At 38.5% G+C, this 27,251-nt stretch overlaps 1 protein-coding gene across 1 annotated transcript in view; it reads right to left on the bottom strand.

Moving 5' to 3' along the window:
• The window catches only part of THSD7B (thrombospondin type 1 domain containing 7B), a 912,174-nt gene that overhangs the window by 790,248 nt on the left and 94,675 nt on the right, over positions 1-27,251 (bottom strand). Inside the window, exon 2 of the mRNA NM_001316349.2 lies at positions 5,154-5,327. Coding sequence (NP_001303278.1) covers positions 5,154-5,292 — 139 coding nt within the window. The 5' untranslated portion in view covers positions 5,293-5,327. The remainder of the gene's footprint in view (positions 1-5,153; positions 5,328-27,251) is intronic.

The raw sequence follows: 27,251 nt of genomic DNA, 5'->3' as shown, positions 1-27,251 counted from the left end.
TCATGATCCAAACACCTGCCACCTGACCCCACCTCCATCATTGGGGATTACATTGTAATGTGAGACTTAGATGGAACAAACATCCAAACTATATCAAGAGTAATCTCTTAGGATGACTGAAGGCTATTTTAAAAGCCTGTCACACACACACACACACACACACACACACAACAAATATGGAGTTTTCTTCTATTTCAGAACGTATTATTCAAAACATAATTTGTTTTCCAGACTTTTTATAAGCTCACTTGCAAAATATAGCTTGGGGTGATGAAAATGTTCTGAAATTAGATAGAGGTGATGATTCCACCACACTGTGATGTACTAATATCACTGAATTGTATACTTTGAAGTGGTTAAAATGGTAAAGTTTATGTTGTGTATATTTTGCCACAACAATTTTCTTTAACATCGTTTCAGTCCTAAAAGGAAATATATTAGAATTTTATCCTCTACCTATGCCAGATCACAAATTTCAAGCTAATCTCTTCATTTCTAGGACTACATATTTAAATCCTACCTCTTTGGTAGTAGCTCTCAAATTTATATCTCCAGCAGAAACCTCTCTCCTGAATTCAGACCCCATAACTTCCTAGTCGACACCTCCACAAGAATTTCTAACAGAATCAAAAGTGTAGCATGCCCAATTCTGAGTGCTTAATATTCCCTGTATACCAGCTCCTTCTCAGCCCATATTAAATGACAGCAACTCCACTCTTCCAGTTGTTCAGGGCAAAGTCAGTATCACCCATCCCACATCAATAAATCCTGATGGCTTTATCTTAACTCAGGGTTTCTCAACCTGGGCACTGTTGAGATTCTTTGGGCCTGATAATTCTTTATTGTAGAAGACTGCTCTGTGCATTTTAGAATGTTTATCAGCATCCCTGGATTTTACTCAACACACATCAGTAGCACCCCCAGTTTTGACAACCAGAAATGTCTCCAGGCATTGCCAAATGTCCCCAGCACGGCAAAATCACCCTTGGTTGATAACTGTGGCCTTAAATATAATATAGCCAAGATTCAACTCCTTCTCCGCACCTCCACTGCCATGGCCTTGGTTCAAGCTATCACCATGGCTCTTCCCTTTAATTCTGCAGTAGCCTCCTACCTCATCTCCTTGCCCTGCTCTTCTCAGCCAGCCACCCACAAGGATCCTCTTCAAATCTTATTGAAAAGAAAGTCAACAAGAAAGTCAGCTTATGTCACCACCCTCTCAAAACCCTCCCATGTCTTTCTATCTCACATAGAGTAAAAGACAAAATCTTATTCTGACCTATGAGGACATACCCCATGTGGACCCCGTTACCCGTCTCACCTGAGCTCCCATCACCCTCCCCATGTTCACTCTGCTCCTGCATGCTGGCCTCCCCACATGTCCTCAAGTATGCCTCCCACACTCCTGCCTAAGGTCCTTTGTCCTTCTTGTTCCCACCATCTGGGATGTTCTTCTTCACCTTGATATATCTACAGCTGGCTCCCTCACTTCCCTCAGGTCTTTACTCAGATTCACTTCCTCAGGCAGCTCATGGACAACCTCCTTAAGCTTTTAGTCTCCCTGCTCCCACTGCATATCCCTCCTCCTGGCCTCATTTTTCCTTCTTACCACTCGCCCTCATCTAGCATACTCTATTTAACTACTGATCATGTTTATTGCCCTCTTTATGAGGACCGAGGATTTGCCTATTTTATTCTCAATCAATTTATCTCATGTACTTGTAACAATGCTTGACACACAGTAAGGACTCAATAAGTATTACTAGAAATAAGTGAACCTCTTAGAACCAAAACTGAGGAATTTTTTAAGAGAGCACAATTTACTGTGGGATCAGAGACCATAATCTGTTCATCTCCACAAAGCAGGCAGGCATGAATAGTTTTATATTGAAACTTAAAACCGCAAACAACATTGTCCCTTATCTGATACTGTTGCTGACGTGATCCTTCTTTCTTGACACAGCTAACAGAGTGTCTGACACCAATATAGATTATAGGATCTCATCACAATAATGATAGGCATTTAACAGCCTTGACAGATCAATGACCTTGCAGCCTACAACTCAGCAGACTCTCCCTCAGTATGGAAATCCTAAAAAACATAATACACTCACTTATTATTCATCAATCCATTGTTTTTCCAAAGCCAGGACTCACTTAGAAATGCCTGTAATTTGGATGAGGTTGACTAACATCGGACCTACCGATTTGGGGTGTGGGGGTGGGGAACAATAGACACCAGCAAAAGAGTAAAGTGGTTGACACAGCAATCAAAACCCAGAGAATGGTTTCTAGGTTTCTACAATAAAGTACAGTTATCTGGGTCTCCATGGAAATCTGTTCAAATTCCAAATTACACTGGACCTGAGTTCTTGGATTTGATAACATACCCTAAAAATACAGCTAATTTCAACTGCAATACAGTGTTAAAAATCAAAATGAAATACACTAAACTCATCCGTAAATAGGTAACAGATTCTAAGATGTTGATGTTGTCTTCAAAGGTTATAAACTAGAATTTTTCTAGGGATATAACTCCTTAAATCAATTTATTATTGCTTACCTTTAAAATAATACTGCATTCATGTCAGCATTATTTATAATAGCAAAAAAACTAGAAACCACTGAAATGCCAAGCAATAGAGGAAGAGAAGATAAAGCAACAGGAAAACTAGATAAATTTATTAAATAAAAATGCTAAAGAATACTATGCAGTCATTAAAAGATGAGGTTGGCCTATGTGCATTAATATGTAATATTCATCAATATATCATTATATGATCAAAGATAGTTGCAGAAAGCAGTGCAGAGTATGATTCCACTTACATGAAATATGTGTGTATACATACATGCACATATGGAAGAATTAAATATTTTCAGGTGCACCATTCTCCATCCTGCTTCCTGCTCAAGATGTTTACCTGAATGGATATATCCATGGGCTCCCCTGCCTTGTGGTTTTTGGTTGAATTCATCCAATGGGAGGCCTGGCAGATATGAAAGCTGGAGGAAAGTGAGGTGGAGCCCTTCATTCCCCTGGCCTCCTTCCTATTTTGCTGCAGGTTGGCTGTATCCCTTTAAAAGCCACAGCATTTGTCAAGCACCTCTCCAGATTCTGGGAACCACTCTTTCTCCTGGCCCCTACATACCCAGAAGTTGTAGAGGCTCCCAACTGATACAGTTCAGGGTCACTGCACAATCCCTTGTTCCTGTCCTTACACACTGCTCACACTTGCCTACTTTTGTAAATGTCCTTCTATGAAACTCTTCTCAACTGCCGACTTCGCATGTGCTGTTTCTTTTTTAACAGAACCTAATTAATAACTATATGTGTATCTTCTGTGTGATTCATACACATAAACATGCATAAATGTGTACTTACATGTACAAGGAAATTTTCTGAAGGATACAAAAGAGATTGGAAAGGGATACATTGGAGCTTTTGTTCTTAATTTTGTACCTTTTAGATTTCTTTCACTTTTAAAATGTCAGTCATACATAAGTAATCTGCTTTGAAAGCAAAACCAAATAGGAAAAAATTATATTGTTACCTTTTTGATGGCACTGTAAGGAGGGAAAGAAGTAATGAATACCAGGAGAAGTGACAGTAGTGACTTATATGTTCATTTTAAACAATGTGTTATGTATGATGAAAAGGATCCTCACTTCTGAAACTTAAGTTTGACAGTTACCAAAAAAATTCATCCACTGTAGAGTTTGTTTTTACCATCTTGTTCCAATGACCTACTTTTAGAAAAGCACGCTTATTTTAAAACTTGCTTCAAAATAACCCCATTTTCTTAACACATCTCATTCGTTTTTCAAATTTGCCACTTTCCATTTTAACCATATATTTTTTAAAACTTTCGACAGTAGTCATAAAAATGTGCATATTTTGATTTGATCAAATGTTCATCTTTTGTGATTAAAACAAAATAACCCCATTCCCAGAAAGGAAATACTGACTTTCAGGACTATTTCCAAAGCTGCCTAAAACTACTCTGAGGGAAAAAAAAATGCAAATCAGTAATGAAGTATTGGAGCCCACAGTTAAATTAATTTATAGGGGCTTTAATGCAATTAAATTTCATCCAGACTGTATCTCTAATGGTGGCTGTGTTTTTTTTTTACTTAATAGACTTTAAAGCATAATTCACTTTCATTTTTGCAAAATTATTTAAATATTACAAACATCACTTTTATACATATTTCCATGGTGACACAATATATTTGAAGTCTATTTAATTTACAGATGATGGGGCCAAAATGAAAATTCTTTGAGGACCATAGATCTTCTATAACATCACATTTTCCAGTTCCAAGATATTAAGTATATAAGTTATCAGTATTTGAAAGAATGGAGTCTTGAGAAAGCAATAAATATTTTAAATGATCTGATTGTGAAACTTAAAGAAAATTAAAATCCAGAGCAAGGAAAAGCATCAGTAATACAAAGAGCTAAGATGTTTAGGGTTCATAATTTAAGTTAATAAATTATTAGGCTCTGAAATTAAATTTAACAGATCTTTTTCACAGCCAAATTAAGGAAATATTTAGAGATGAACATAAGTTATATTCCAGCCCCAAATTTCAACTCAAATTATTCATATACATAAAGGATAATGCATGAGGTAGCTAAGAATCTCAAAATACATTAACGTGACTTTGCAGTCACAACTAATGAGCAAAGCTGTCAGGATAATTTTTCATGCTCTCAAACCTAGACATAGAAGATCTATGCTGGAAAGCATTTAATAATAAATAGCTAACTAGTTTAAACCCTGAAAGAGACATGCAGAACTGGTCCAAAGCGTTCTTAGCTGAGAATATCAGCTAAATTCAGATGTCATTTTTGCTACAAATGTGCTGCACACTGGTGAAATATTTGACAAAGGAGAAGTAGATGTAACTATGGAAATCATAACTTTAATTGACAACAACATGAAAATTCAGAAGGATAACAAGCATCATGGATGGAGAAGACAATTATGCAGGAGTAAAAAATCAAATATGAGCTGCAGAATTTAAAAAAAAGAGTCTATTTTTCCTCTCTGGATATTTCCCACTACTTTAGAAAGAAGAAGAAGAAGGATGGAAAGAATATTCTTCCTGTTAATGAAAATAGGACAAAGGAACAGCCAGGACATTCCTACCTGGTTTCCAGATGAACTGATTATCCTTTTTGCCTTCCAAATGAGCTGCATGGGACAGCAAGAGAGAAAGCAATAGAAAGAGCTTCCTCATGCTCCTCCATACCCAGCAAGTGACTGTTAGGTTGCTCTTTGGAAACATGCTTCAGATTTTTCAGCCTCTTGACTTGCCTATTCCTAAAAGAGAAAAAGAAAAATCAGGTAAGTTTCTTCTGTAAAGAAAAGATAACAACTCATTTTGACTGCTAGAACCTTTATTATGATGGTATTGCAAGTTTTTCATTAGCATGAAGATAGTACATATAATATCAACCCTGTGGGAAAAGCTACAAAAAGCAAATCCACATTCTGTTTTTACCATGTTTTGTATTATTTTTTGTAGTGAAGTGTATTCATGAATGAAATCTACCACTGGATGATAAAACTACTTATTTCCCCAATTGCTTTTTATTTTATACTTTTGGTAAAAAAAGATCAATGTAACGTGATAATATTATCATGGATTCTCACAGGATCCAAAGTAGTTACTTGATTCCCATAGTAGCTCTAAAAAGAAAAGAAACAAAAGCCTGAGGTGGTTAACTCATGTTTATACTTTTGGTAAGAAAATAAGCTTTAATGGTACACATTATTAAAAGAAAGTAGTAAATATATGTTATGTTAAATGTTAAATGTATACCTTTTATTTCTCTGAAATAAAATCAGGTAAGTTTCTTCTGTACAAAAAATCAAGTAAGTTTCTTCTGTACAGAAATGATAAAAACTGACTTTGACTGCTAGAACGTTTATTATGATGGTATTGCAAATTTTCTATTGCCATGAAGATAGTCTTTATAATATTAACATTTGAAGGTCAGCAGTTAATTAGCCAAGTTTTCAATCCTCACCCACTGAAGGCCTCATCAATTCTATGGACTCCACAGTCTCTGTGTCGGTATATTTTATTCTTAAAAGCAGAGTTGGCAGATACCTTGTATATTCCCTCCCTTCTACTCAGACAAAGTCCATGAGGAGCTCATGATTTGGAGAAAGAGATATGCATACACAACAAGTCCAAAGCAGGGCAAGGGATGCTCTAACAGTAGTATTAAGAAAGTGGGATGGAAAGACTGAGGACAAGGCAACTAGTTCCTCTGTGCTGTGCAAAAAAGAGAGGAGAGCCTCACACAAGATAATATTTGAGAAGAGACTAGGGAAACATTAGGACTTGAAGGAGTTGGGAAGGGCATCTCAGGCAGAGAAAACAACAAGGCGTTGAAATGCGTTTTGTGTTTGGGGACTGGTGATTAGGCTGGTGGTTGCTGTGAAGGACACAAACAAGAGGGAGGAATGGACTAAGATGAGATTTAAAACATAGGTTGGGAGCCAAATTGTAAAGAGCTGTGAATGGCATATGAGGGATTTGGGCTTCATGCTGTAAGTAGTAACAAGAATCATAGAAGAGCAAATGATTTTTAAATAACTAGAATCAGTGTGCATAATGGATTACTAGTAGACAATGGTAGAGAAATTGAGGGCAGTTAGAAAATTAGTGAAACAGTAGTCCAGGCAAGTACTGGTGAATGAAAAGATCAAGGATCAGGAGAGACTTGAGAAGTCATAGAAATTGCTTCTGGATTTAAACGATCTGGTTAACAACTGGATGTGCTACATAAGAGGAAGATGATGAAAAAGGACAGAAAGACTGCAAACTTAGATGCCTGAACTGATGGGATCCCTTTACCAAAAACAGGAAACAGGAAGAGGGGCACATTTGAGAACATGCTTTACTTTAGAATAGAATAGATTAAGTCTGATGAGGCTACCAGATATCCATGTACAGTTTTCCAAAAGATAATAAGAAAACTGTAGTGGAGTGAAGGAGATCTAAAATAACTTACCGCAATATATGTATTATGAAAAATAAAAAGATATAGGTACTGGAGAGTAAAAAGATTGAACAGTAAAAAGGGGATCTGAAGGGTAGAAGTTATTGCCCCTAAATATATACCCACACAATTACTACAGGTGGGTGGCAAATCTGACTATGAGCTTCCTAGTGGCCAAGGAAAAGAAATAGCTTGTTATAATTTCTGTTCTTTTACATTTGCTGAGGAGTGCGTTACTTCCAACTATGTGGTCAATGTTGGAATAAGTGTGGTGTGGTGCTGAGAAGAATGTATATTCTGTTGATTTGAGGTGGAGAGTTCTGTAGATGTCTATTAGGTCTGCTTGGTGCAGAGCTGAGTTCAAGTCCTGGATATCCTTGTTAACTTTCTGTCTCGTTGATCTGTCTAATGTTGACAGTGGGGTGTTATAGTTTCCCATTATTATTGTGTAGGAGTCTAAGTCTCTTTGTAGGTTTCTAAGGGCTTGCTTTATGAATCTGGGTGCTCCTATATTGGGTGCATATAAATTTAGAATAGTTAGCTCTTCTTGTTGAATTGATCCCTTTACCATTATGTAATGGCCTTCTTTGTCTCTTTTGATCTTTGTTGGTTTAAAGTCTATTTTATCAGAGACTAGGATTGCAACCCCTGACTTTTTTTGTTTCCATTTGCTTGGTAGATCTTCCTTCATCCCTTTATTTTGAGCCTATGTGTGTCTCTGCACATGAAATGGGTTTCCTGAATACAGCACACTGATGGGTCTCCATTCAAAATTGCTTCAAAGAGAATAAAATACCTAGGAATCCAACTTACAAGGGATGTGAAGGACCTCTTCAAGGAGAACTACAAACCACTGCTCAACGAAATAAAAGAGGATACAAACAAATGGAAGAACATTCCATGCTCATGGGTAGGAAGAATCAATATCGTGAAAATGGCCATACTGCCCAAGGCAATTTACAGATTCAATGCCATCCCCATCAAGCTACCAATGACTTTCTTCACAGACTTGGAAAAAACTACTTTAACGTTCATGTGGAACCAAAAAAGAGCACACATTGCCAAGTCAATCCTAAGCCAAAAAAACAAAGCTGGAGGCATCACGCTACCTGACTTCAAACTATACTATAAGGCTACAGTAACCAAAACAGCATGGTACTGGTACCAAAACAGAGAAATAGACCAATGGAACAGAACAGAGCCCTCAGAAATAATGCCACACATCTACAACTATTTGATCTTTGACAAACCTGACAAAAACAAGAAATGGGGAAAGGATTCCCTATTTAATAAATGGTGCTGGGAAAACTGGCTAGCCATATGTAGAAAGCTGAAACTGGATCCCTTCCTTACACCTTATACAAAAATCAATTCAAGATGGATTAAAGATTTAAATGTTAGACCTAAAACCATAAAAACCCTAGAAGAAAACCCAGGCAATACCATTCAGGACATAGGCATGGGCAAGGACTTCATGTCTAAAACACCAAAAGTAATGGCAACAAAAGCCAAAATTGACAAATGGGATCTAATTAAACTAAAGAGCTGCTGCACCGCAAAAGAAACTACCACCAGAGCAAACAGGCAACCTACAGAATGGGAGAAAATTTTTGCAATCTACTCATCTGACAAAGGGCTAATATCCAGAATCTACAAAGAACTCAAACAAATTTACAAGAAAAAAACAAACAACCCCATTAACAAGTGGGCGAAGTCTATGAACAGACACTTCTCAAAAGAAGACATTTATGCAGCCAAGAGACATGAAAAAATGCTCATCATCACTGGCCATCAGAGAAATGCAAATCAAAACCACAATGAGATACCATCTCACACCAGTTAGAATGGCGATCATTAAAAAGTCAGGAAACAACAGGTGCTGGAGAGGATGTGGAGAAATAGGAACACTTTTACACTGTTGGTGGGACTGTAAACTAGTTCAACCATTGTGGAAGTCAGTGTGGCAATTCCTCAAGGATCTAGAACTAGAAATACCATTTGACCCAGCCATCCCATTACTGGATATATACCCAAAGGATTATAAGTCATGCTGCTATAAAGACACACGCACACGTATGTTTATTGTGGCACTATTTACAATAGCAAAGACTTGGAACCAACCCAAATGTCCATCAATGATAGCCTGGATTAAGAAAATGTGGCACATATACACCATGGAATACTATGCAGCCATAAAAAATAAGTTCATGTCCTTTGTAGGGACATGGATGAAGCTGGAAACCATCATTCTCAGCAAACTATTGCAAGGACAAAAAACCAAACACCGCATGTTCTCATTCATAGGTGGGAATTGAACAATGAGAATACTTGGACACAGGAAGGAGAACATCACACACTGGGACCTGTTGTGGGGTGGGGGAAAGTGGGAGGGATAGCATTAGGAGATATACCTAATGTAAATGACGAGTTAATGGGTGCAGCACACCATCATGGCACATGTATACATATGTAACAAACCTGCACATTGTGCACATGTACCCTAAAACTTAAAGTATAATTAAAAAAACAAGAAAAGAAATGGCTATTGCAGTCTATGATCCTCATGTGTATAGGATTAAATTATACCACCCTGCCCACAGTTTTTGCCTTCTTTTTTTTCCCCCCAGGAAAAGACATTGCCCTGCTCCCAAGCACTGTTGGGATTTATATCAGGAGTCCTTATAAATACAGGTGGTATGCTGGGCCATGTGCTGAACACATTACTTCATCAAATAAAACAGCAAGTTGTCTGTAGTGGAGTCTCGTGGCATTCCTAGAACACTCCAAGGGTACGGTAGCAAAGTACAAATCAGTAAAAATTATTCTACAAGGAGTCAAGCAATGAAGTTCCAGTACACAGCTCTCTGACAGCCTGCCTCAATCCAGGGATGAGAAGTAAAAAGCAACCAAAACTTTTCTTCAAATTTCTACACTGCATACCAATATTGAGAAGAACAAAAGTGGAGTGCTCCAGCTGAAAGATGGTAAAGCTCCGTTGCTTGAATGGTTTTTTTCTCCAAGAGTGGCCTGTTAGATGATTTCATGAAACTTTTGCGGCGTTACTAGACACAATTCTAAAACTTCTGGCCTAGAGAACTGAATTGGCCACATTTCCTTAGAGCAAACATCCAAGAATATGACTTGTCACAACTGCGCTTTTGCTAAAAATTAGGCAAAATGGCTACTAAATTATAGTTTATTCTAAGGCAATTACTAGCTTACATGGTATTTTTGTGTGAAGCTGAAAAAGGTAGTCCCCCTCCTCAAGTAAAAATATTTTTAAGTTAGTATACTATTACAAAACCTGAATTGTTCTGACCAAGAGTCCTTTTCTGGAACCCTAGTGGACAGCAGCCCAGGCTCTATGCACATACGGGCGCACTGGAACCCACCTGCACATGTGAAGATTCACAGACGCACACATCACCATCAGGGAGCATACTCTGCACGCTCCCTTCCTCTGCCTCTCCAGAAGAGGAGACAGTGCCACAGTCAGAACTGCAGCTACAGCAGAGCTGGAGAAGAGCCTCAGAGACCCCAGAGCGTGTTAGGAGACAGACTGCAGCCACAAACACATGTGTTTACCCATCAGTGCCTGCTCTGCTTAGTGTACAAGTTTCAGCTGTGGGTTCATACAGGCAGGAGCTCCCCATTCCAGCTAGAAGCCCTGGAATCTCAGCTTCTGCCCTGATGCTCCCAGGTAAGCTGGCATCTGTCTGTGATATGAATTGTGGCCCAATAGATGAGACATTTTTATGCACATACACACACATACACTAGATTATAGATATTTCACACTTATAATGTAAGTTCACATGCTTTAAGAAGCAACACAACAAAGAATGGACTGGAAATTATATCATGATATTTAAAGACTGCCTAAGTCTTTTGTCTCAATAGACATTCACTCCACTTCTACGGAATGGTGGACTGAAGCCAGGCTATTATATTCTCCAGACACATACACACCACACCACACAAATGGGTGGTTAATTCTGCATAATACAGATTTGATACAAAGATTTTAGTCTGGACATTTTTCAGAAGACATCATTGCCAATTATATATGCCATTGAGGCAGTTGAAATAAACCTAAATATTGCCCTCATAAAACAATATAGCTTCCTGGTGAATCCTACAAAGCAAATTAGTTTAAAAATATACCCCTGGGAAAGCAAATGAGTGGTCTTCTATATATAATGATAGATCAAAGTCAATGCCATGTCAGAGAGCTTTTGATAAAGATGATGACTGTGTTTGGCAGCGGTTGTTCCTAAGCTATTATTTCCAAAGTTAATAAAGTAATAGCTAGCAGGACCAGTTCTACACAGAGGCTACTTTTTTTCATGAAACAAAATCACCAGGGTATACAAGATGACTTTGTCCATTCTCACGGCCATTCAGCATATCTGAAAATATATTCAGATCACTACCATGAAAACTAAAGAGAAGGAGGGCCAAAAGCATATCTTCTCTACTCCAAATGGCTGTAGGTGGGAAGCTAAAAAGAGATTGAAAGGATTATGAGTTCAAATGAGATAGCACATGAGCCAGAATGACTGGCCAAGGAGTCATATGGAAAGATGTTGAATTTTGCATCTATCTTTGAATTTTAATTCCAAAGAAAGCCACATTAACATTGTCTTAGCACAGTTTGCTATAAGCCTTGGTTTTCTCTTAGGCTTCCTCAGCAGTCTAGAACACTGTATTAACTCTGCAAAGTGACCTAACTCCTTTAAGGTGCCTTCTATGATTACCCAAGCCAGGACCCAACAGCAGAAGATCCGGATAGAGTGGCTTGGAGAAACTACGGGGCTCCTGTGGTCCCCATAATCTGGCTATCACTAACAAGGCCTAGTGCCAATAAGAAACCAAAAACTGATCTTGACCAAAACAATCTGGAATACAGATCTTACACAATGATTAAAAGAATCTCAATTTTGGACTTTTACTCCTAAAAAATATGTGCTGCATGCTTTCTACTGAGCTGACGGAAAGTGCAGAATGGATTTCTTTCTTTCTTTATTTATTTTTTGACAGTCTCGCTCTGTCACTCAGGCTGGAGTGCAGTGGCACGATCTCGGCTCACTGTAGCCTCCTCCTCCCAGGTTCAAGCAATTCTCGTGTCTCAGCCTCCCGAGCAGCTGGGTCTACAGGTGCCCACCACCATGTCTGGCTAATTTTTGTATTTTTAGTAGAGACAGGGTTTCACCATTTTGGCCAGCCTGGTCTCAAACTCCTGGCCTCAGGTGATCAGCCTGCCATGGCCTCCCAATGTGCTGGGATCACAGACGTGAGCCACTGTGCCCAGCCCAGAATGGAGTTTGAACACAGGTGTGTCCTACTCCACTGAACCACGTTGCCTCTCTTCCCGAAATGCCTGGAATTCCCATTAAATTATTCCTTGGAAAGTATTGGGAGTCATTTTTGTATCTGTAACTTGGGAAGCTACACAAGAGTTCACCATAAACAAAATGAGAGGACAAGAAACAATTAGAGATTCCACTCCTCTGTTTGTAAAACACAAATGAAAAAAAAAATGCTATGACTATGATTACAAAAATACATTATGTGGGAGACATGTGCTACCCACGATGGCTTGAATAATTTATATCATGAAGGTCGTTGAGTTTCCAAATCTTCTTCTTTACTATATATCTTAGCATCCAAAATGTATTTGCAAGGTTAGCTCTAAACTGATGAATATTAAGAGAAATAAAAAACACAGTTTCTCCTTTTAGCCTCAGTTTTCTAATCAATGAAAGGCCATTGAGACTATAAAAAAAAGTGCCTCACACTTCATACGCATTTCATTTTCCCTTAAATGTATTCTTATCGTTGAAGCCCTTAAATATTTAAAAGGTGCAACATTTAAAAAATAAAATAAAGTAAAAATAGTTTCAATTTGCTTTCAGCCTAAAGAAACAGCAATGAGTGGGAGAAAAGGAAACTGTGATTATGCACATCTCCATAGCGCCATCTCATGGTAACTGTGCAGAGAAGATGGCTCAATAAAGATGGCCGATCAACGGGGCTATTGTCTGACTGCAATATTCTGCATCCCACTTTACCTTCCATAATGGCTTTACCATACGTTGCTGTATACAAGACAATGACCTAAACACTTCATTTAATGCTCACCACAGCCCTGCAAAGTAGTTATTCATATTATGCCCCACTTTAGAGATAAGAAAACTGAGGCATGGTCCATCAAGCAACAACCTGAAGTCCCAAAGATAGTCGGTTGTTTCCAAGTGACCTCAATGATCTCCCACTGAAGCAAGAGAGACTAGTGTTGTAAGTCAATATCAACACAAGCATTTTTTCATGTCTCTGATAATGTAGATCCTTTATAGCCTGATGTAGGTTCTCTTAGCATCTGTACAAGCCAATTTATATCAAATAATTTCACTTAATCGTCACAATGAGCAATTATTCCTATTTTTAGATGCAAAAGAGATTGATCCCTAAGGGTGTTAAATCAATATTCCAAGGCCATCTCAGCAAACAAGTGTCAAGCTGGGTCACAAAACAGTCCTGACGCCACAACCCATTCTGTTTACATCATGCCTTGTGAACCCTGGCAGTGCACGACCTTGGAGCCTGAGGTTCCTCATCCACAAAATGAGGAGGACAGTCATTGATAACCCTTAGGAATGAAGGATGCTACAGAAGCATGTATATAAAGTGTATAGATGAGTGCCTGACAGTGTACACTGACAGCTCACTAAAGGGTTGTCATTATTACTATTGTCATTGTTTTCTCAAAAGTCAGAACTCCACTCCAGCAATATTTAAGGAACAGTTTGAATGCAATCCTGCCCTGCAGCAAAATAGTGGAAGATGATTTTTCAACTTTCCAATCTTGTGACTTTGTGCCATATTTCTGAAGAGCTAAAAAGCACTCTGTACCAAGAACTCCATTAAAGATTCACACTGACCCTGCGAAGGAAAAAACAGGTATTATCATCTCTATTTTATGAGAGAACAACCTCCGGCCTTGCAATGACATGATGTTTAGTAACTTGTTCAGGCCTTTGAACCACCAGCCTCTTCCTCTCTGCACCTCACTCTGCAGACCTCAGCATGACACTCTGCAGGTAACTGAAGAATCCTAAACGGTGTGAAATGTAAGAATGTGGCATGGGAATGCATACCATAAAAGTATACAATCACATGTGTCTTTGGTTTGCTATATTATAATTGCAATAGCTTGGTGTCATGTAATGAAGTCACAGAAAATTTCGCAAAAAGTCCTCACAAATATGTTTCCTACCTCTTAACAAACTTTTGCCACTGGACATAACAGATAAAAAGAGGGATTGAAATAGGTTTTCTGAAACCTTCAAAAACATAATTTGGTATCCGGGTATCTGTGACAAACATTGCTATATTCTCCCTTTCTTCTTTTTTTTTTTTTTTTTTTTTTTTAGATGGAGTCTTGCTCTGTCACCCAGGCTGGAGTGCAGTGGCGCGATCTCGGCTCACTGCAAACTATCTCCCAGGTTGAAGCAATTTAGCAGTTATGCAACCCTATGGTAAATAGCTTTAAAATTCCCCCTACTTTATAAATCCAAGTAGCTGGGATTACAGGTGCCTGCCACCATGCCTGGCTTTTTTTTTTTTTTTTTTTTTTTTGTATTTTCAGTAAAGACAGAGTTTCATCATCTTGGCCAGGTAGATCTTGAACCCCTGACCTCATGATCCACCTGCCTTGGCCTCCCAATCTCCTTTTCTTCTAAAACTACTATTCTTTAAAGTGTCCACTTGTCAAGGAATGAAGGGAGAGAGAAGAGAGAGGAGAGAGAGAAAAGAAAGAAAGAAAAGAAAGAGAAAGAAGAAAGAAAAAGGAAGAAAGAAAGAAAGAAAAAGAAAGAGAAAGAAGAAAAGAAAAGGAAAAGAAAAGAAAAAGAGAAAAGAAAAGAAAAAATAAAAGATCACGTTCTCAGATTTTTATGTAGCTAGGGCTGCCATGTGACTCAGTTCTGGCCAAAGATTAGGAGGCAGAAGTATCAAGGGTATGGAGAGTTCCCTTATCCAATAAAAATATAAAGTCCCCCCCACCCCCCCGAAAAAAGTATGGTCTTTCGCCATTTATCTCTTTCCCATAGATCACAGAGGCAACACCTGGAGTCGCCAGAGCCTGCTTGAAGCCATGGGGATATGTGCCACCTACTAAGGAAGACAGAATGGAGAACAGAGGAAACCTGAGGCTCAGACACCATCACAGAGCTGCAGCCACTGTCTGAATTGTCAACTTCTGGACTTCCTGTTTTGTGAGCAAATAAACCACTTTGTTTTTAAGCCATGTTTTTGTGTGCCTTCTGCTACATGAGCTGTAAGTCCCACAGTATCTATGTCACTAAATACAGTAGGTCTATTTATAAACATCTATGTATGTTGATGTATGTTGTATGAGTGTGCCTCTAACATCCTGCTGAACGTGAACATAGGAGAAACCAATATGGGGAATAAAACAAACTCACCTTCATAGAAACAGGATTAATACATGAGAAGTAGAGTAATTGCATCTGTTGTCATTTTTCATGTGTCATTTCAGTGAAGAAAGGGGTGCTTCATTTATGATGGCAATTGCATAGAAGGAAGTTCTGTAAGTGGATTTGTTCTCACTGAGGGCTCTGACACAGCTTATACCAAGAAAAGTAGTAATTACTCTGATAAGCTGCCTCAGCTTCCCCAATGAGAATGAATCTGTTCATACAGAGTCCAAAGTAAGAACTTACTTATGCGGCTTCTTTCTACACAGTTGCCAGGCCCTACCTGATTCTGAAGGTATCATGGATACATTCTTATAATTTCAGAACTGCCTTGTCATCATTTCATGGAAAATCACCTTCTCTGATTACCTCATGGGATCATCTCTTTATCACCCCCTAACATTTCTGGTTGTTGCCCAAATGTTCCCTTACTCCCTCTTTCTTCATCACTTTCTTCCCTTGGGACAGAGACATCAAACTCTCCTCAATTTGTCTTATTTCTCTCAGGCTATTTATTTTCAGCCTCCATTTCTGGTATGTCTTTCTCATTTTAACCTCTAGATGGGTGTGGCTCTGACTCTGTCCTCAGACTCCTCTTCTCTAGCTTTGCTCACTCTCCAGGTGATCTGACTTAGTCCCATGGTGGAATAATAAACTCCACAATTCATTATTTCTACTTCTCTGTATCTATTCCCCTATCTTCAACCTGACTTCGCCCCTGAACTCACACCTTACCACTGAACATCTGCATTTGGATGGGCACACACATGTAACATACAAAATAAATGGAGCTTGATTACCCTACAGAGCCCACAGACCGGATCTCCCCGACAGTGTCACACTTCACCAGACCAGAAGCCCAGGAGTCATCCTGAAATCCTTCTTTGTCGCATCGAAAAATCAATCCATCTGCAAATCTAGTTGACAGCACCTACCTTTGCAATCTATCCAGTATCAAGCCACTCCCCTCCTAATGCAAGACACCAATTCTCCCCAGAGCTGCTAACAGCCTCCTGCCTGGCTTTTCTGCTTCCACCCTTGCTTTCCTTCTATGCATTCCTCACAGAAAATCCAGAGTAATCTTTAGGAAGGAAAAAATATACTTTCCTCTACAAAATCCTCTAGTGGCTTTCAATCACAGGATAAAATCTAAGACTCTGCTAGTTGAACTTTACCTCTTCTCCTTCCTCCTTTCTCACCAGTCTCCATTCACTCCTGTGCCCCAGACACACTGGCCTCTTTCTTGTTCCTCAAGCATGCACCTTCTTAACGTCCTTGCACTGCCATTCCTTCCTATTCACGTGACCTGCTTCCTCACTTCATTGTGCAGCAAAGGCCTTCCCAGACCCCCGTCTCTTCAGCACAACTGAGATGACTCTGTCCCTAGATGTTTAGTTTGTTGTTTGTTGGTAACACTTACAACAGCTCAATAACTGATAATTTAGTGTACTTAAAATTGGCATATTGGTTTATGTTCCTGTCCTCTAGTATTATCTAAGTACTTTATCTTGTTCAGTGTTATATGTCCAGTTCCTAGTATATTGCCTGGGAAACAGATATTCAACAAAGATTTGCTCAATGGATCCATGGACTATTGAGTCAACTTTTAAATAATTTTTTCGAGGAAGTTTTCTTAATCTTGGACCATAACTTCAGTGAAGAAGCTTTAGCATATGATGGGAGAAATATGGATAGAAAAATCCAACTACTGAAAAATTAGGCTATTTTAAAACATTTTGAGAAATTATTCATAAAATACCAACATTTGGAAGGTATGCATACATACAAACACACAGGTAATGATATCTTACCCAACACACAGAACTATCTGCTGCCACCTAAAATACAGGCACAAATGCTGACACTTTTTTTTTTTTTTTTTTGAGACGGAGTCTCGCTCTTTCGCCCAGCCCGGAGTGCAGTGGTGTGATCTCAGCTCACTGCAACATCTGCCTTCCAGTTTCAAGTGATTCTCCTGCCTCAGCCTCCTGAGTAGCTTGGATTACAGGCACGTGCCACCATGCCTGGCTAATTTTTGTATTTTTAGTATAGATGGAGTTTCACCATATTGGCCATGCCAGGCTCAAACTCCTGACCTCATGATCTTTCCGCCTTGGCCTCCCAAAGTGCTGGGATTACAGGCGTGAGCCACCGTGCCCAGCCGCTGACACTCATTTTTAAAAGAATCATATTTCCAAGTGTCTTAGATGAACAAATTATTGTTTACATTTTTAAAGCACAAAATGGCTCCCAAGCACAAAGCATTATGACTCTTGTGGGAAAGGAATGAAATTATGGAATCAAAGAAAACAAACTTCACTTAAAGAGAATGGTTTCTATAAGGTATGATTTTTTTACTTCTTATGGTAGGACCGTTTTACATTATTATTCAACAACGACTGTTATCGTTAATTAATACTGCTGTGCTTCAATAAAAGATGTTGTCAGGTTCTAAATCCTTGCATTTAAGGTGGAAAATCATTGATTAAAATGTGTATTTGGCATTTTCACTTTAATGGCTACTAAAATTTATTTAGTTTACAGACAAATGGAAATTATTTAAATTGAGAACAGCAGTAGGTTATCTCTTAAATAGCATTTAAATTAAGTTTTGCACAGGGAAAAGGTAAATTTTATAACTTTAGGAATGTCTCTTGGTTTGAGTCTCTGAATTATCTGTTTTGTGCTTAGTAAAGTTAATTCAGAAGTTACGCAACCCTACGGTAAATAGCTTTAAAATTCCACCTACTTTATAAATACATTACGAATATCCCACTCCACCACCCCTAAAGATCAGAACAGAAGAAGTTCTAAATTGCCTATACTTTAAATCTACTCAAGTGGAGAACTTTTTTTACAAATTATAAAAAAAGGAAGTTAAATCATTTAATAGAAATAATATCAAAAAACATAACCTAGTCACTAAAGAAAAAATAAAATCTATATAATCTGTTGTTTGGAGGAGTTTAGGTTAATTATAAAAAGAAAATACGTTCCATTTGAAAACCTTACCTTCTAGAAAAAGTAATAAAATTGACACAATTACCTTCTGTAGATATTTTAAGAAATAAAATAGATACCTGAGAAAGTCAGTCTGTAGTCCATTCTGCTTGAAGGTACAGGAAAGAATGTGATAACCTCTTTTCACCAAATTTACACACACACATACACACATATATGTGAATGTTGTCGAGAAAGAGAGATTTTATGTAGGCTGACATTTAACGGTTACTCTAAGGAGCTTTATAAGAATTCAAGATAACTGGAATGTGTGAACAAGAAAACATCCTCTTCTCAAATGCTGTTGAACTTTGAGATTAAAAAAATACTTAATTACTCATTAACATTTTCTGCGATGTAAGATTCTAAATATTTAATGTCAAAAGAATTATCCAGTTAAACTGTAAATATAGCTTTGCATTCTCTTGATTAATTATGCATCTATTGTTGCAAAGAAATTTATTGAAAAATGTATCTACAGTTGACATTAAAATAATAAGTTTATAAGCCTATAAAATTTTCTAGCAGTCTCTTCCATTATCTTTACAAGTTTTTATTTATTATGTCTAGGCATTGACCATTAGTAATTTGCCATTAGATTCAGGAGATTTGATAGAATTTACTTTTATCCTGTATCATCCCTCCTTGCACAAGAATGGAGTGTTATTTGAAAGAAAACATCCTAAATTAAGTTGAAATGCAAAAGGCATTTTTAAATTCTTTTTTCCCTGTATAAATTCCAAGAAAATTTGCAAGAACATGTTTGACCAGTGGAAAACAAATTATATTATTTCAACTTGCATCTTCAAGGATGTGTGTGTGTGTGTGTGTGTGCGCGCGCGTGTGTGTGTGTGGTGTGGTGTGTTTCTAGATGTTTTAAACAGACCAATAGAGCCTGAAGGCAATTGTCTTGAAGTATATTTCATTTACCACTTCCCATCTTAAAAACAGCCATTCATTCATTCAGTCCATATTATCTATCTCCAATTTCACAGAAACAGACAGAAATTAATAATACTAAATAAAAAGCCACTCTTTGTCTTTATTGCTATATCACACATATGTGTGTGTGTACACACAAATACTTTCTAAATAATAAAGTGGCCAAAACACAAAATCAAAAATTTCAAGGAGCAATTTCTCCCAGAGAAAGAAGTAAAGTTCACTGGGTATCCTGGCAATTTACCACTGGAAATTTTACATTTAGAAGTTTAATTACAAACTTAGATAAGTGGATTATAATGAAAGATATCTCTAGCAAGGGAGCCCAGACAGACGCATCATGAATGCATTAAAGAAAACACCAGAGAGAGAACTTTCCATCAGCAGAAAGATTTTAATTAAACAGCAATAGGATAGATCTCTTCTGTGAAATGATATTACTGTTACCCTCAGTTCATTAACTCTATTTACTATATAATATATTCTTTGAAACTATTTCACTATGGAAAGTATTTTAAACCTTTCATTCTCAGTTATAAGGGCAGAAAAGTGTGGGTAAGAAAAAGGGGAAGGTCCATTAAAGACATGTGGGAATGGAAAAGCATTTCTTGTTTGCATGCTTGTCCTTGGTGAACTGCACCTGAGGTAGCTCCACACTGCATGGAAACCCACGGGCTTCAAAAGAAGGCAAATGAGCCCACAAATGTCCATCAAAATGTCCACTGAATTAATGGTGGTCCGTTAGGGACAGCCAAGGTCATAGCCTGTCTGTGATTTTATTCTTGGCATGAATTAAATTATTTACTTGAGACACTAGCATGTTAAAGACATGTATTTTCAAAAGCTTCAACAATACTCCTGTGGACTCTGCAGCATCCAAACAAAAGTTTGTTCCTGGATGTTAGGGGACATAATTTTCTTCATCTTGTAGTCCTAGTTTGTAGTCTAGACCCACTGGGTGACAGTAGATGTTGAATAAATGAAGAAATGAATGAAGTGAATAGGTAAAGCAAGGTACATTCTATTCCAGTAGTAGATTATGATATAATACAATTAATGAAAAAAAAAGAACTGGGCTAGAAAAGCCAGCAACCTCAAACACATATGGAAAATTGATTACCAATTAGGCTCCTTCCAAAACGCTGCAAAATTCCATTTCTCACAGACTCTGCTAGAAACCCAGCTTTCTTCTATTCATCCCATCAACATTACACCTTTCATAACAAATACTTTCCAGACTGTTGCCAATTCCAAAACTGAAGTAAGAACCAACAGGTAGAATGTTGGAAAATCTCTAAGGTTTTAGGTAGGAACGCTTTTCTGCGTGTAACCATACGTTAAAAATTAAATACCAAACAAATGTTTTCATAAGTAAGCCTTACTGAATAATTAGGTACAATTCTTAAAGAAAATAAATGAGTTATATTTCCTAAACTAATAGTCTTGGAATGTCAGATGCCCTATAGTTTCTTCAAATAACCCCCACACCCCTCCACCTTTTTTCAGAGTTAAGAGTGAATTTCAGGAAGTTTTTAAAGGACCTTGGCCATTAAAAATAACATAGTTTAATATAGTGATTTTTTATTAAAGTTCAAAATATAGCTTCCTACAGACCTGATATTTTATTAACAGTAATACAGAACGTGACCTCTGTCAGCTAGGGAAAAAGAAGTAATACTCAGAAATTCAAAGAACATGAGAAGATGTCTGCGGGAATAAAGCCTGAGAAAGAAAAAAAATTCATAAACTTCTTAAAAGCATTAAAACAAAAATGACAATCTAAATACATTAGGACAAACACAAAGTCAGCTTATGAAGAACTAGGTAAATAAGAAGAATGAAATAGGCACTCTCACAAGTGCTTAAAAAAAGAAATCCCACTTTTTCCTGTGCTCAAAGCGACAATCACACCCACACCATAGGTGTTGACAATACTTTTGGGGAACCAGAGGCAATGCTCACCATCCAAGCTGATCAAATCATCCTCTCATGGAATTGTATATTTATGAGACAATAGGTAACACAATATGTCATCTTACAGGTCATTTGTCACTCTGTTCTGTGGCCACAGCTGCACCTTAACCCTCTACCTGCTTTAAAAATGCTTGTTATTGGTTGCAGGGTGGAAGTCCTGAATAAACTTAGGTGGGATGATGCACTCCAACACATCTTTGCCACTACTTAAAAACATACAGTAGAGAGATTATGATAGAGGATCAATGAACTTATGAGAAGAATACAGCTTTTAACTGGTAACGCCAGCTCCAGGGATGACATCTTCCTAACTGATGGTACTATCTTCCCTCAACAATTTTCAACACATGCTATTGTTTTTCTAAACCTTTCTCTTTCTAGACAAGCTTTTCTTGCATCTTCTAACTCACATGGACAAGAAGAAATGAATGTTGAAGTTAATGTTAAAACATAGAAGAGCATATTGATAGTACTGAGACAAACATTTGAAGGATCAAGGAATCAGAAGAATGTTGGAAGAGATCTCCATAGCTCAAAGTTTCTCTAATACCCTGTGCAGTAATTGAATATTTCCAATGACAGAAAATTAATCCAATGTCCCACCAAGCAGCCCAGTCCAAATATTAGGACATGGATCTCAAATTGAAATAGGTGCTCTCCTTTTTTAATCTAAAGCCTTTGATCTTAACTCTTCTGTTGGTAATTATAGCTAAAGTATGTCTCATCTTTCCCAATGCAATGAAGCTCCAAGCCTTGTCTCTTCTCAGCCAAACATGTCCAGCCCTCTCCACCATTCTCTATGAAGCATGGTTTCCCACATCCTTAGCCAAAATGGCCCCTTTCTCTGGACATGCCTCCAAGAGGCAAAGGGCAGTTCTCTAGGAAGGAGAGGGCTGTGATCCATGAGCAACCAGCATTCACAGTACCTGGCCAGGTAAAGGGGATTTGGACAGGGCAACAACTGCTCCAGAAATAATCCAGTACTGTAATAACCCAGTACAGAAATAATCCAAACTGTGCACAAAAGAATTCATATCAGAACTTATTATTAATTTTAATTAGACACATGGTAATATTGATTAGAAAGGCAGCAACCTAAGTGTCTATTATAATGAAATAATTTTGTCATGTCTTCTCCATGGAGTATTATGTAGCCATATTACTCAGCTATCAAGAGTATAAAAATAGGCCAGGCACGGTGGCTCACGCCTGTAATCCCAACACTTTGGGAGGCCAAGGTGGGCGGATAATGAGGTCAGGAGATCAAGACCATCCTGGCTAACATGGGGAAACCCCATCTCTACTAAAAGTACAAAAAACTAGCCGGGCATGGTGGCTGGAGCCTGTGGTCCCAGCTACTCGGGGGGCTGAAGCAGGAGAATGATGTGAACCTGGGAGGTGGAGCTTGCAGTGAGCTGAGATCGCACCACTGCACTCCAGCCTGGGCAACAGAGTGAGACTCTGTCTCAAAAAAAAAAAGAAAAGAAAATATAGAAAATGATAAAAAAGAAATATGATATGTTTAAAAAGTAACTCAATATTATAGCTGATGAAAATTATGAGCAAAAATACATACATTAAATTTTTGGAAGACATATACTAAAAATGTTCGTTGTATTTGCATGGTAGAAATATGAGAGATTTTATTCTTCTTTGTCCTCTTACTTTTCCAAGCTTCAACAAGAACATTTATTCAGGCTGTGTAATTCAGACTACTTGAATTTTGCAGATTTTTTTCAAAAAAGAAAATCCAGAGAACACACTGTGTGTACCCAACACCAAATGTGGCACAATTTGGAGCATATATTGAGCACTTAATAAGTATCTGCTGCCTGCTTGAGGAAGCCAACTCAGCAAGGCCACTTCACTGAACTGTGTGGATTTTGGCAATTTGTCAGTGAAACAATGTTTTTCCCAGGAAGGAAAATAATCTGCGGCAAAATAAACTGTAATGACTACTTTAAAAATAGTGTTGTTTCCCTATGTAGCCATTCCTCTCTAAGCAGCAAAGACAGGACATGCCTCTCCCTCCGTCATGCAGCACAAAGCTTATCTAAACACAGAGCCACCATCAACTTTTAATGGAAATGCCTGGAGCCAAGCAGGAAGCAGACCCTTGGGTTTCACGGTCCTGTAAATCACCAAGGCTCGTTGCTGGATAACTTTTACATCTTTTATCACGAAAAGTAAAATAAACGTAAATGATTTGTCCCTTGTAAGAGGTTAATATCAGTTTGATTTGTTTTTGTTGAAGCTCAATAATGAAAGCTTACAGTCAAACACAGAAATATCTACTCCTCTCTGCACAGCTTTTCTACCTCTAATAGTTGTGGCTGGAACCCTCTTCCTAAGACCCTAAGCCAACCAAAATACATTGCAACATCTCCTTCTCTCAATATTCTCAGCTCCAATTGGCTTTCTATTCAGAGAAATGAGGCCAAATTCCATCACAATGATAGTCACTGCGACAGCCATCTTTCGGCTGATTTCATTCAGTAGTAGATTAATTTCTGGTGCAAAAGGACCTAATGAGATCAGGCGTGTTCCGGGTGGTATGGCTGTAGACTCTACTGCAAAAGGATCTGGATGGCCCCTTGGGCGCTGTGAAAAGCTGACACACCTAACTTCATGATATTACATCTCAGTATCACAGTGAACAGAATCTCAAGGTTCTGCTCCTCCTCCAGCACTGTATTTCATCTCAAAACTTGCCAACATCAAATAGTGACAAATGCAGAATGCAGAGACCAGGTGGAGTGCTGGGTTCCGGTGAAAACAAGGGGGACATACACACAGAATCACCTTTCAGGATGCTTACCAACTAATCGCCAATGGCTGGGCATACAATGAGTAAAGATTTAATTAACAAAGTAACCTGTGTAAGTGCCAATTTCCCATGACAGACCACGGGTATTCTAGGCACTATTAGAATGACTTCAAGAAGACTTTGAAAGATGAGGTGATTTTAGGCAAGGTTGGAGCATGGGGAAACACACAGAATATCAAACAAGGGAATATTGTGAACTAAAGTGCTGAGATTGGAGAGAAAGCGTAAGCAATAGGTTGAGTCCCCATGGTAAAGGATCTGAAACGTGAAAACTTCTGATTTCACTCTATAAGCAACGGATTTGGAAAATCAGGCCCATTAAGTTAGCAGTTAAGTCCCTGAAAGTAGAAAACAGGGCAAGCTCTCCAAGTGAGAGAATGTGATATAGAAAGAGGAGAAGGCTAAGGGCTAAGTTTTGTAGTCTGCTCATATTCAGGAGGAAGAAGTAGACATTGCTCATTCTGCCTCTTCTGAATAAAATGCTTTTTTCTACTTGATCGCTTTATGAACTTCTCCACAACACTCAAGGCCTAGCATAAAGGACGCTTCATCTGGAGGGTCTTCTCTAGCTCATCTGGGCAGTTATTCACTCCCCAGTTGATGATCCTAAATTATGTTGTACAATAATCATTTACACATTTCTTTCACCCATTCGACTGCGAGCTCCCCAGTGATCAACATCCTGCCTTATTATTTTTTTCATACTCATACCTTAGTGCCTGGCACAGAAACACACTTAATCAATGCTAACCAGGTGTTCAATGTTCAGCAAAGAAGAGAAAAGGTAACCTGGCAGGTAGAAGGGGACCCAAAATGGCAAGATTTTGTGAAGTAAAAGTTAATAATACCTGAAACTGATTTAGATGATAGGATCCTGGACATAGAGCTGATGCTGTTATGAGCAGCAACTCTCAGGGCCTGGAGGAGAAATTACTATACTTTGCAAGTGGGAAAGGTGGGGTCATGGGAGGCCACAGGACAGACTATGGCAGCCAGCTCCAAGATGGACTCTACTGATCCTCACCTCCTGGTATCCACACTTTGTACAGTCCCACCCCTAATGGGAAATTGTGAAAGTGATGGTGTGTGACTTCCTAGACTACTACATAAAATATATTGCAGCTTCTGTCTCACACTTTCTCGATCACTCACCATGGGGAACACCAGCTTCCATGTCATGAGGATATTCCAGCAATTCTATTAAGAGTCCACATGGCAAGGAACTGAGGTCTTCTGCCAACAACCAGCATTAACATTCCAGGCTTGTGGGTGAGTCCCTTTGGAAGCAGATCCTCCAGACTCAGTCAAGCCATCAGATGACTGCAGTCCCAGGTGATGCCCAAGCTGCAACCTCAAGAAAGATCCTGAGCCAGAACCACTCAGCTAAGTAGCTCTCAGGTTCCTGACCTACAGCAACTGTGTGAGATGCTAAATGTTTATCATTTTAAGCTACTACATTTTTAAGTAATTTGTTATACAATAATAAATGACCAATACATTTAGGTTCTTTCAATTTCTCTAGACCTCCTCCCCAAAAGAAAGAAGATAAAAAGGGAGAGTCAGTAACAGCAACTCTTACAGAGTAGACATTTGATTATTCTGCTGGTGGATTAAAGACTGCAAAGTGGAGCAAACCAGATTCATGGGAAAACAAAACTCAAGTCTTCACCCAGTCCTGGCATACTCTGTGACTCAGGGCAAGTCCTTGCATTCTTCTGAAACACTATTGCCTCCCATGTAGAATGAGAATATAATACCTAACTACATGTTTATTGTGGAGTTGTCTTAAGTGAGACAAAATATCTTAAGCACCCAACACGGAATCTCACACATGGTAGGTGTTCAATAAATATGAATGGAATGAGAATCTAAAGGCAGTTCAAAGAGAAACCAGATTTTAAAAGGCTAAGAAATAAGTGGGAGAAATCATTATAGAAGGCAAACCACTAAATAATGAGACCCTAAAATGAGACTTTTGCCTCACTTAATATTCCTATGCCAGGTCCTACCTTCCACATGTAACAAAATAGGTTCATCTCACTTATTCAGCAAATCTCACTCATGCTACCCAAATTGCCAGCCTTCTCCCCATATCCTCATTCAAGGTAAATTAATTTTCCAATACACATTCAGTGGGTACCTACTACATACCAAGTACTGTCCTTGTGCTAAGAATGCAGCAGTAAACAAAATGAAACAGATTAGAAGTGAGCTACGCAGCTATCTGCGAAACAGCGTTCTAGGCAAAACCAACAGTAAGTGCTGATGTCCTGAGGCACTGAAGCCAGTGAGGTTGTAGTGGAGAGAACAACATGAGAAATAGAATGATTCCAGGAGAGCATCAGAGTAGGCCCAGGGCCCTTACAGTCCACTGTAATGACTTTGGCTTTTACTATGAGTAATTTGGGGAGCTTCTGGAGTATTTTGAACAGAACAGTGACGTCATGTGACTTACATTTTAGCAGGATCTCTCGAGATGCTGTGTTAAGAATATATTTGGGAAACCAGGAGACTAGATATGATGCAGTTATGAGTGGCAGTGGAAATCATTATTCAGGCTCTAGAAATATTTTGAAGGTAGTGACAGCAAGATTTGCTGATGGATTAGATGTCAGTAAGAAAGAAGAATCAAGGATGACTCCAACATGTTAGACACAAGCAATTGAAAGAATAAAATTGCTACTAACAGATAGGGGAAGGCTGTGCAGTAAGAGGAACAGATTTAGAATAGGAAGAATATCAGGAGTTCAGTTCTGGATACTGAGACCAAAATGCTTATTATTCATCCAAGGAGAAATAGCACATAGGAAACTGTACACAAGCCTGGAGTTTAGAGGACAGCCTTGGGCTGGTGACATAAATTTGGGAGACATTAGCTAAAAACAGTGTGATATTGGATGAGGACAAGTTAGTGTGAGAATGGATAGAGAAGAAGACCAAGGCCTGCACCACCATCAACGCACTCCCTCTACTCGCATCGCTGTCTCCTTTG

Source organism: Homo sapiens, chromosome 2, assembly GCF_000001405.40.
Source record: "Homo sapiens chromosome 2, GRCh38.p14 Primary Assembly".
Lineage (NCBI taxonomy): Eukaryota > Metazoa > Chordata > Mammalia > Primates > Hominidae > Homo > Homo sapiens.
Note: the sequence above shows the minus strand (reverse complement) of the source record. Positions and strands in the feature narration are given on the sequence as shown.